The 12,500-nt window shown below is 37.1% G+C and overlaps 1 long non-coding RNA gene across 2 annotated transcripts in view; it reads right to left on the bottom strand.

Annotated features, from left to right (window-relative positions):
• Positions 1-8,846: 8,846 nt before the first annotated feature.
• LOC105378474 (uncharacterized) overlaps positions 8,847-12,500 on the bottom strand; it is a 37,010-nt gene continuing 33,356 nt past the window's right edge. For both annotated transcript variants that reach the window (XR_946303.1, XR_946301.1), the window contains exon 3: positions 8,847-8,910. This is a non-coding gene — a long non-coding RNA (uncharacterized LOC105378474). The remainder of the gene's footprint in view (positions 8,911-12,500) is intronic.

Here is a 12,500-nt window from a genome sequence, read left to right as displayed (position 1 = left end):
CCCTCCAAGCTCTTTATCCCAAATATAGCTCTGAACCCTGGGTAGTCTCTCCAGGCCTCTTTGGCCTTCATTTTCTTTGACCCTCTGCCAGCATGTAAATGCTACACCACAAAATTTATTTCAGAAGCTCATTCCACGTTGAAGAGTTAACTTCTGCTTGATGTAGCCTCATACTCAAGAATAGCAGTCACACATTGATTTTTAGAATATTTTGTAGTTCACAGATTTTTTTCTTAGTAAACCAATTAATAGAACACACTTGAAAGAATGCCTGGCACATATTAAGTGCTATATAAATGTTATCTGTTTTCAGTATTCATGTGACTATGAATATTATTTGTTAGATCATTTAATTCTTGCAACAACATACTATGAATAGGTAAAGCCAATTTACTAGTGTCATTTGAACATATTAAGACAACAAATCTAACAAAAGTCTAGTGATTTTGAGCACCTACCTCTGTGTTCAAGGGCAGGGTATTTTCTGCTTAAGATTATTCTCCCCAGTGCCTAGTTCAGGACTGCTCACACAGCAGGTGTTTGGTCAATATTGGTAAAGTTTACATAGATGATATATAGGGGCCATAGGAAGATATTGACTCGGGAGCCGAATTGAGTCTATGCTAAGAATAGCAATGCATATTAACGTCAAAATAAGAATTAACAACTTTCTTCAAACATTTATGTACAGACAAAATAAAGGACTAGTTAAATATAGATACTGTAGGAACTGCTTGAAAGCATTGCTTAAAATCACAAGGTCTTGGGTATCCACTGACCCTTCAAATATCCTCAAATGACTTTCATTTACTTGTTTTTGTTACTTTTAAGAGATGTCTGAAAAGGGCTGGTAATCAATACTGTACTTAGACAGCTGGACAAAAGATAAAAATGCCCAGGCCCTTGACTGGGGCAAGAATGATTGAGATGCTCTCGTGATTCTCTCTTAAGATATGGTCCACCTACTGAGAAGACCTTGTCCTTTTCCTGTATATACAGGTTGTGGTAGAAAAAGGCAAAAACCTAGAAACTAGCAGCTGTACTTGCTCACAAAATCCTGTCATAGAAACATGTAATTGAGGCTAAAGGAAAAAGAAAGAGTTCCATATTAACCTATCCAAATGGTGGAAGACCATTTAACAGTCTCTAGAGGGAACCAACCCGTGGCAGGCCATGCACTGGGGGTGAGGTGGGGAGGTCTGTGCTACACAAATAATTCATAGAGCTATGTTTTTTTGTTTGTTGTTTTACAACAGTGTTTATCACTCAGTGTGGAACATTATTTTGACAAACATACCATGGTAATTAAGATGATAATTGATGAAGGAGTCCATAGGATATCTCTGCACTATTTTTATAACACTTCTGTAAATTTAAAATTATTCAAAAATAAAAAGTTTATTTTAAAAGGTCTGACAAATTTCCCATGCTACTGTGGCAAGAAAATGCAGAGGATGACTGAGGTAGTCAGGCAGTATTTTCAAGAGATGGTAGTACTTGAGCTAAAAATTAAAAAAAAAAAAATAAGGGCTGGGTGCATTGGCTCACACCTGTAATCCCAGCACTTTGGGAGGCTAAGACAGGCAGATCACGAGGTCAAGAGACCGAGACCATCCTGGCCAACATGGTGAAACCCCATCCCTACTAAAAATACAAAAACTAGTCAGGCGTGGTGGTGTGTGCCTGTAGTCCCAGCTAATCGGGAGGCTGAGGCAGGAGAATCACTTGAACCCAGGAGGCCAAGGTTGCAGTGAGCTGAGATCACGCCACTGCACTCTAGCTTAGTGACAGAGTGAGACTCCATCTAAAAAAAAAAAAAAAAAAAAGTAGTGGTAAATAAGGTGGATAAAGGATAGAAAAGCATGTGTTTAGTAAGCTAGTTTTTTTACCCAATAATATTTCACAGACATCTAAGTCAGTTGCTAAAAATCTTTATCATTTTTGTTGGGTTTATCATAGTTCTTGGAATAAACATGAGAGTTACTTATTTCTTTATGATCATTTTTCTCCTTTTTTAACCAGATCTACAGGAAACTTACAATACTATTTCCACTTATATTTTAAATACCTGTTTAATTTTTTTCCTACTAAACTATTATGTTTCCAAGGACAAAAACCGTGTTTATCTTTTTCACTCCTTAAGTCCCCAAGATATAGTACAAAGTTGAATAAATGAGGATATAGAACATGCAAAGACATGGAATGAAAAAGTAGCAAGGAGTGTAAGAGACTTGCAAGCAGTTTTCTACAACTGGAGTAAAGGACTCTTATTGTGGAATTTTGAGAGGCAGGGAATTAATTGAAGAGGTTGACATTCATTCTCTAGGAATCATCAAAATGTTTATTTTGGACCCAGTCTGTGTTAGTCCATTTTCACACTGCTATAAAGATGCTACCTGAGACTTAGTAATTTATAAAGGAAAGAGGTTTAATTGACTCCCAGTTCCATATGGCTGGGGAAGCCTCAGGGAACTTACAATCATGGCAGAGGGCAAAGGAGAAGCAAGTACCTTCTTCACAAGGTGGCAGGAGAGAGAGAGAGCAAAGCGGAGACTGCCACACACTTTTAAAACCATCAGCTCTTGTGAGAACCCACTCACTATCATGAGAACAGCATGGGGGAACCGTCCTTATGATCCATTTATCTCCCACCAGACCCTTCCCTTGACACCGGGGGATTGCAACTTGAGATGAGATTTGTGTGGGGACACAGAGCCAAACCAAATTACAGTCTATATTATGCACTGTAACTACAAATAGAAGGAAAACATTAGCTGTTCAGTCAGGAAGTTTATGGGATTGCAGGGCCCACAATATAAGGGAATTTTTTTCCTCTTCATCCTAAAGACTACTGGAAGTCTTTGAAGTATTTTAAGTAGGAACTTCAGAAAGATCTTTGAATCAGTGGTTCTCCTGCAGAAGGAAACCGAGAGAGAAGGGCAATATTAGGAAACAGAGACTCCATTAGAAGTTTCTTGCAACATAAAAATAATGAGAGATTCCACAAAATTACTTGAGTGGAGACTGAGAAGTGGCTGCAGGGGTCACTGATATTAGGAGGATGTGATGTGGAGGCAGCTGGGAGAGGATTTTCAGAAGGAGAGGGCGGGATTGAGATCTATCTGGAGGTTGTATCAGCTCTGCTCTATAACTGACTAGATGTGGAGGGCGATGAGCAGAGAAATTGAGTATGATTCTCAAGTTAATGGCTTCCATCACTGGCTGGGTGAAAATGGCAGACAGTAAAGAAAGTAAGATAGAAGACAGTGCAATCTGTTGTGTTTTTGGGATGGGTTAGTCAAACTCATTGTGGTGGAGATAACTTCAAGACCCTAGGTGAAGGTGCCCAGTAGATAGTTGAGGACACTGGTCTCTAGGGAGAGAGCTGTGGGCTATAGATATAGACCTCTGACTGAGTAGTATATGAGTTAATATTACACGAAGTGTCACTGTAAATGAGACCCCCTCAAGGAGAGTAGGTAGAAGAGAAGAGAATCCAGAGTGAGCTCCGGAGAGCAACAGCATTTAAGATGGAAAAGAAGAAGAGCATGAGAAAGAAACACATTTAGAAGTCAAGATGAGGACGATGAATGGGAGATAGGTGAAAAATTTGGGAGAGCCTACCGAAGTATGATTGAGGAAAGAAAAAGTATTCAACACTGCAAGGTGCAAATGAGTGTTAAAGTGATGAAGCCTTCGTAAGTGATAGGATTCTTCAGTTAGGGTGCCATTCACAGCCTTAATTAGAGCAATGCCAGACACTTTACTCAGATAATTGCATTTAATTTATACAGTAGCTGATGAAGCAGGTAATATAATCCTAATTTTACAGATGAAGAAACAGTAGCTTAACTAACTGACTCACAGACATGCAACTAGTTATCAGCAAAGCTCAGATTCAGACTTAGGAAAGCCGATGCTGAAAACTGCACTCTGAATAACTAAGCTCTACGGTGCCACCCACTGACGCATCTAATTAATTTCAATTCAGCATGTCACTTCACAGTTTAGGGTTTTGTTTTGTCCTCTAATTTTCCATAAGCACAAATATTAGTTCACCAGCACTATTCTAAAGCATCATCAGAACTGAGTGAGACATATATGTTGCTGTGTGTTGGCGTCAAGTTTTTAGCCAAAAGCAAGGTAGTCCCCATAGGTGTCCCGTAAATTCCATTAAATACATGATATTGAAAAGAAATGAGCATTTGAGGTGTTAGAGTAAATGCAGATCAGCCAGGTTGTCCTCCAATGACACACATAGCAGCTCGAAAGAACAATGCCAACTATTGACTGTGCTCCCTGGTCCTAAGCATTAGATCATTGCGTTTCTCTAATGATTTATGTGTGAAATTTCCAAGGTTATATGAATAGGCCACAAACAGACTTTGATATACCCATAATGGGTTAATAATGCATACTCCATACTTAATGCATAAGAAAGTAAACCACAGAAATTCCACAAAAAAGGACAAACATCTCTGGTGAGCAGTTCCTCTGAGCTTAGAGTCTGGAACATACTATTGTGGAAGGAAAATGCTTTTAATCTTCCTGCTGATGAATAAATCACAGTTTTTAAAAATATTTTAAAACATTTGAACAGCACCACCCCAGGACTTCATACAAGCTCTATTTTTCAGTTCCATCAGCATGCAAGCCATTCTCTTAATTGTGTACATAACCACGTACATAAGCAATGCCATGGATTTTGCACACTTCTGAACAATGGGCACCCTAGATATCTTGCGTGTAATACCGGCTGCCATGGTGCAATTAGAGGAGAAATAAATCTTACCATCTTGATGACAGCCTGTGCATCCAAAACCAGGCAATATAGATGGCTTTGAGAAAGCGGAATCTTGTATTCTTTGACAATGTAATTATTATGCTCTGTCAGCTCATTTGACTTTTTCATAAAAATCACTTAATACTTCACAAGGATATTACTTTTGCCATCAAATATCACTTTTGGAAATGTTAGTAATTTAGGAACTCCTATATTAAAAATGGCTAATTCAGTAAGTACATGAAATGCCATAATCTGAGAGGCCTTCTAACCTAAAAGATTTCCCCCTCCCCAAGCTTTATTAAGATATAATTAGCATACAAAACACTGCACATAATTAATGTATCCCATTTGGTGAGTTTAGACATATGTAAATTTTACTCCTGTTACCATCACCACAACCCAAGTAATAAATAGATCCACCGCCTCTAAAAATTGAATACTTCAGTCCCACTGTAAGACGCTGGGGAGAACAAAGGGCTCCATTAAGGAGCTATGGTCTGGTATTTAAAGGCTAAATAGTCAACAACTCAATTACAAATGATTTAGGAAAGTGCTGAAGCTATATTTAGTAGAGAGTTTTCTTCTCCAGCACCAACCTTACATGTTATTATATGCTAATTTTTAGAAATTTAAATCTAAAGACTTGTCTAGTAAAGACTCTTTTTGAGTTGAATGAAGTTCTTGGGCAATAGAAATTGCATATTTCACTTTTTTTTAGTTGCCTTTCTAAATTTACTTACATAAGATAAAATTCACTCTGTTTGGGGTAGATTACTGTGAATTTTGACAAAGGCTTTCAGTCTTGTAACCACCACCACAATCAAAACACAGAGCAATTCTGTCACCCCTAAAATTTGTGCTACCCCTTTATAGTCAATCTCTCTCTCCATCCCCAGCCCCTGACAACTACTGATCTATTTTTTGTTCCTATAGTTTTGCTTTCCACACTGTTGTATACTAGTTCGTTAATTTTTATTGATGAATAGTATTCCATTGTATGGAATATCATAGCTTTTATATCCTAAAAACTTGCATTTGTGATGTGATGATGGCAATGATAATAATAGTGACATCTGACATTATGTGAATGCTTATTGTGACTCAGGCATTGCTCCAGCTCTGTCAACATGCTACCTCATAAAATTTCCTCATCATATGAAATAGGCAATATTATTATTTCAGTTTAGAGAATAGAAAAAGGAGGCAAAGAGTATTAAGTAACCACCCTAGGATCACACAATTTGTAAATGTCACAGCCTATATTCAAATATGGGCAGTCTGACTTCAGGACCTAACATAATAACCACCATCATAAACTGCTTCCCCAGTAATAGCTACCAATTATTGATCATCTGCCCTTGGGCTCCATGGCAAGCATTTCCTTGATCCATTTTCACATGAATAAGGTAGGATGTGGAAAATGAGACTTACAGAGACTAAGCAATTTGCTCCAAATCACTCTGATAATGTTACCTAATTTTTAACCAAATCATAAAAACTGGGTCTTATTACCTTTAAAGGTATTTAATTTTGATTAGTTTCTGGATTTCAATTTTTTTATTATTATTTTCTCCTATGACATTGCATTTCCAATTCGTCTCAGCATGCACAGAGTCTTTTGGAGTTGGACTAACTTGTTGGGCATTGGTACAAATCATCTTCCAGGGTTTAAGATTAGATAATAAAATATATTTGGTACAAAAGAGACCTTGTATCTATCTTGATTTATCCCTGCCTTTGTGAAATTGAAGGGATGAAAAAAAATCTGCTATCTGAATTAAACTCCACGGAGTGACATGTGGAAAAAATTTATATACGTTTTAACTTTGGGTTGTTCCTCAAGAGGTTAAATCTTTGTTCCAGAATGCAGATAAAAATAAATTTTGCTGCTAGATTGCTTATGTTATCACCTTATCATGAGCACTGTAGAATTGGAAGCAAAAATCTCCAGTACAGATGTCTACAGGGAGAATGTGATTGTATTTTTCAATTTGTATTTATAGTAATAATAATGCACTCAGCTCACATCTTTAAGGAAAAGGCCTCGAAGTACTTTACGTATTTTAATTAACCCTCACTGTACTCAGTACATAGACAGTATATCAATTTTATTAATGCATAGCACATGGAGAGCAAATTTAAGGCCTTAGGTTCAAAGTCATGGCATGCTGGTAATGATAATAATGTTTCATGGTGGAGACAGATCTGTGAAAAGAAAGAATAGGAAACAACCCAGCAAACTCCGTGGTCTGACATGTCAGCAGCGTTGCACCCTTGCACGCTCCAATGGTCCTTTGCATTACAAATTTCTCAATATAAGAAACATCCTGAATATCCTGAGTATTCTTTCCTACTGTCCTCTCTGGATTTATTAACAGAGTGTAAATGTCAAACATGGGGGAAGGTGTGAAGAATGGAGGGCTCATCTCTTTTCTGAACAACCCTAAATACTCTGGTCAAATTTCAAACAATTCCTGGTTAGACATTTGGATGCCTTTGATTTTGAGTCCTACATACATTCTCGTTATCATAAGAGATATGCCACAGGAAAAAAAGACATGTTCTGAGGCAGAGTTACAAGACCAGATAGGGCAGAACGGGATTTTGATATTTGATATTGTTTTTGGATCTTCAGACTAATGGTAGGTAATACCTATTTGTGAATTTAAGCTCAATTATAAGGGGAAATTTTTTTTTTCAGATAATTGGGGTCATCCAGGGTGAATGAGCTTATCTAGAAGGGAGTGAATTAAGAAGAGGAGATTCCTGCGTTGAGTGGGTGATTGAACTACATGCAAAGCAAGGCTTCCTCCAGTTCTAAGGAACTAACTGGAAAACTGATTTGAACTTTTATTTAACAGCTTTATTAAGGTTTAATTCACATAGAATAATCTTTATATATATATGTAATATACAATTTAAATGTTGTTTGTTTTTAACATCTTAGTCATTTTATGTGTACAGTTGAGTAGTGTTAAGTACATTCACATTGTCGTACACCAATTCACCAGAACATTTCCATCTTGTAAAACTGGAACTCTATACCCACTAAACAACCATTCCCCATTTCCACTTCCTCCCAGTCCCTGCAACAACCACTCTACTTTCCGTTTTTATGGATTTGACTACTTTTGATACCTCATATGTGGAAGCATACAATATTTGTCTTTTTGTTACTGACTTCGCTTAGCCTCGTGTCCTCAAGTTTCATCCATGTTATAGCATATGGCAAGATTTTCTTTCTTGTTAAGGCCAAATAATATTCCACTGTTTGTATAAACATTTTGTTAATCTATTCATCTGTAGATGAACATTTGTGTCGCTTCCACTTCTTGGCTATTGTGAATAATGCTGCTATGAATATAGGTATGCAAATAGTAATTTGAGATCCTGTTTTTCATTATTTGAAATATGCACCCAGAATGGGGATTGCTGGATCTTACGGCAATTCTATTTTTAATTCTTTTAAAGAATTGTCATACTATTTTTTTAAAGTGCCTGCATAATTTTTCATTCTCACCAATAGTGTACAAGGTTTCCCTTTCTCCACATCCTCTTTAACGTTTGTTCATTTCTATTTGTAGTAGCCATCTTAATGGGTGTGAGGTATAGGTTAAACTTTTATAACTAGAAATTTAAGAACTGAGAACCATACAGTTTTTCTGGCTCAGATTATTATTATTCTGTTCCTAATGATAAGTTTGACCTTGTAGAAGCAACTTCACCTCTCCTTGCAAGTTTTCTAAAATATTAAATAAGAATAATAATGCATATCTTAAAACCAAACAGGCACTTGAACCTGTTCCACACATCATACACGTATGATACGTGATCATCTGTGATACAATTTATATAAGTATATATAATATAGTTAACCATATAAATATATATAACTATAACTATAGTTATATATAGAGAGATAGAAATACAGCTGATTACATGTGATAATTACATGTGATTCAATTTGCATATATAATAAGCTATACTAAGCAGGTATATGGTAACTTTCTTGATAAGCATCCCTCTACAGAGAAAGACTCTTCCTTTCTCTGTTTTACTTACCCACTTCACTGGGATCACTTCTCACATTAACTCCTTGCCTGGAATCCCTGTCTCAGGGTCTGCTATGGGAAAACCAAAATAAGACAAATATCTATTCACTCTTACTCATTCAGATATAATACCTAAAGTGTAAATTAGGGAGTGAATATTTGATGGACCTAGTATAGTTCTTGGCAGTTATCTTTATTATATTATACTCATCATGGAGTGTGAGGAATGCTTCATAATCCATTATCAGTACCCTATCTTTTCTTCTAGAGGAATAATGATAGACATGTATACAGCACTACACAGAGGTTGAGAATAACAGGCCTGAGCAAAACCAATCACAGCTCAAGGGGCATTTTTTTTCATATCTATTAGCAAATATAAGGGCTGTATTTGACAGTCTCTTTTTTTCCTCAGCTTTTTCTCTTCTGATCATCATAAGATGAGGTGGGGTGAAACAGCAATAGAATAACAGCGATGGAATTAATGCTGTGCAGGTTTGAAGAGCATTTGTCCTACTAAGGCCAATTCCTGGGAAGAATGATGTGGAGGGTGGATTTTTCTGCGACTGAGGTCTGCTTGGAATACCGTGGTCTACTGCGAGTGGATTGGAAACAAATAATTTTACCAGCCAAAATGTACTATAGGTATGAGGGTGCACCCTCCAGTTTTCTTATGAAACCCTTCTTCTTATTGATTTATGCCTGCTCTAGTCTATCTCAATAATCACCTAGATACTATTCCTGAAGGATTAAAAATGAAAGAAATCAATATGTTCAACCTGTGTCTGACAGCAATCTCTGCACAACTCAAGGTACAAATCAAAGCCTTCTCCATTAAGTCCTCCCTACAATTCACCCATTTCCAGGCCATATTCATTCTACTCTCCGATGTATTTCCATTGCATTCTATACTTACTTCTGCCACAGTAACTAAATTTTGTCTTAGATTCCACTTACTGTCACCCTGGTTTGAATGTAAGCTCCTAAAGGATAGGAACTAAGCTCTTTTCTTCTTGCCTTCTCTGGGAACCATTATAATGCTAGGAATATATGCATAGATAAAAGTTTTAATGTCTAATATTGAGTTTATAAACTGTCTTATTTTCAGTTATTCTGGGGAGCAATTGACATTATAGACCAAATACTCCACACTAGCATTGTGCTAAATGCTTTATAAATGTCAATTCATTTCATCTCACAAACACTCTATCATTTATCTTACACTGTACAACAGACATCGAAAACTTGGTTCTTAAAACAAAAGCTACTAAGTCTCTGAAGTTGCTGATCAGAGAGCACAGCCTTCAGAATGCGCTAAGTCAACCTCAGTTGACAGCGGTTTTAGCAGGTCTCTCTCAGACGCTCCCTGATCTCTTTGCTAAGTTCTATGTCCCTGTTGGCATCACATCGACCTTTTAGTTTCTTCTATTTGATGCTCGATTCTGCCAGTGTTACCAACTATGCCCTAGGGCATAAATTACTACACAATCTGAACCAATTAAATTGGAGCTCTTTTGCTGAGGTAGTTTTTGAGACTAGTCTTTGAGGTTTGTTCTGTCCCTGGAGAAGCTCTTCTTAGTGGTCTCTTTTCATTTTTCTCTCTGGTAAACTAGCTAGTCTGTGGTTTAGCTACATGCCTTTTCTCATTTGCTTGCCATCCAATCTTAAGTGGGGGAAAGCGGGGAAGCACCCTTAGGCTTGAGCTATTCCAGGTTCTTTTTCAAATAAAGTTTGTTTATTTGGGGACAGCTTCAGAGCTCTCTGCCCTTGTGGACTAGTTCTACCAGTGAGGAAATTCTCTCAATTACTGATCTGAAGCTGCAGATTCAGGAACAGTGGTCCACTTTTCTTATAGGGTACCTCTGCTTGATGAGAAGAGAGCCATGTTGGGGAAGTACCTTCTAGTCTTCTGGCTTGCCTTTCCCCATTTGGAAGCTTCACTCTGTGAGTGAGCTGTAAAAGGGCAATTGGAGCCCTATTTTCATTAGCCTGCTGTGCCTAGTATAGAGCTTCTGCTCTATTTGTAAGGGGAAGAAGGGCCACACTCTTGGCCACACTCTCTTGGATTTGAGCCTCTGTAATTTACTTGGAGGATGTGAGTGAGCTTGTAGGGATGGGGATGAGAAATGACCAACTCTCTTGAGGGAGATATTGACCTTATCCTTTATTTTGGAGTTCAGAATAGAAGGAACCCTGTTTTTCTTGAGCACATCCTCCCAAAGTGGGGGCATCCATGATGCTGATCTGGAAACATTAGGATGAGAGGAGCAAGTTATAACTCATATCACACAGACTCTTGCTGTTCTCACTGAGGTTTAATGGATTTTCTTTTAAGAAATGTTTCTTCACCCCACAAGCACAGGCAACCAAAATAAAAATGGACAAATGGAATCACACTAAGTTTAAAAGCTTCTGAAAAGCAAAGGAAACAAACAACAAAGTGAAAAGACAACCTACAGAACATGAGAAAATATTTGTAAACTACCCATCTGACAAGGGATTAATGGGTAGAAAATATAAGGAGCTCAAACAACACTTTTGGAGAAAAATCTAATAATCAGATCGAAAAATGGGCAAAAGATCTGAACAGACACTTCTCAAAAGGAGACATACAAGTGGCAAACAGGCATATGAACAGGTGCTCGACATCACTGATCATCAAAGAGATGCAAATCAAAACTACAATCAGATATCATCTCACCCCAGTTAAACTGGCTTTTATCCAAGAGGAAATCAATAACAAATGCTGGCAAGGATGTGGGGAAAAAGGGAACTCTCACGCACGGTTGGTGGGAATGTAAATGTATACAACCACTATGGAGAAGAGTTTGGAGGTTTCTCAAAATACTAAAAATAGAGATGCCAGCAATCCCTTTGCTACGTAAATACCCAAAAGAAAGGAAATCAGTATATTTAAAAGATATCTATACTCTCATGTTGTTCACAATAGCCAAAACTTGGAAGTAGCCTCAATGTTCATCAACAGATGAATGGATAAAGAAAATATGATACTTATACATAATGAAGTACTATTCAGCCATAAAAAGAGTAAGGTCCTATCATTTGCAACAACATAGATGGAACTGGAGATCATTGCATTAAGTGAAATAAGCCAGGCACAGAAAGACAAACTTCACATGTTCTCACTTATTTGTGGGAGATAAAAATTCAAACAATTGAACCCATGGAGATAGAGAATAGAAGGAAGGTGACCAGAGGCTGGGAAGAGTAGTAGGGAGGGTGGAAAGGAAATGGGGATGGTTAATGGGTATAAAAAGTCATTAGAAAGAATGAATAATACCTAGTATATGATAGCACAACAGGGTGACTATAGTCAATAATAATTTAATTGTACTTTTACAAATAATTAAAAGAATATAATTGGATTGTTTTTAACAAAAGGATAAATGCTTGAGGTGATAGATGCCTCATTTCCCATAATATGATTATTACATATTGCATGCCTGCCTCAAGGTATCAAATGAACCCCATAAATATACACACCTATTATGTACTCACAAAAATAAAAAATAAAAATGCTTCTTCATTTGTTGTATGCTCTTAAGACAATTCCAAAACTTTAACTCTTTTTAAATTAGAAATTTTACCAGTTACACTTGTTTTTCCCAGAAGCAGGTCCATGTAGCTGTTGATGCCGCTAT

The sequence above is a fragment of the Homo sapiens genome, chromosome 10 (genome assembly GCF_000001405.40).
Source record: "Homo sapiens chromosome 10, GRCh38.p14 Primary Assembly".
In the NCBI taxonomy this organism is placed as follows: Eukaryota; Metazoa; Chordata; class Mammalia; order Primates; family Hominidae; genus Homo; species Homo sapiens.
The sequence above is the reverse complement of the archived record's forward strand: the minus strand, read 5'-3'. Positions and strand labels throughout refer to the sequence as shown.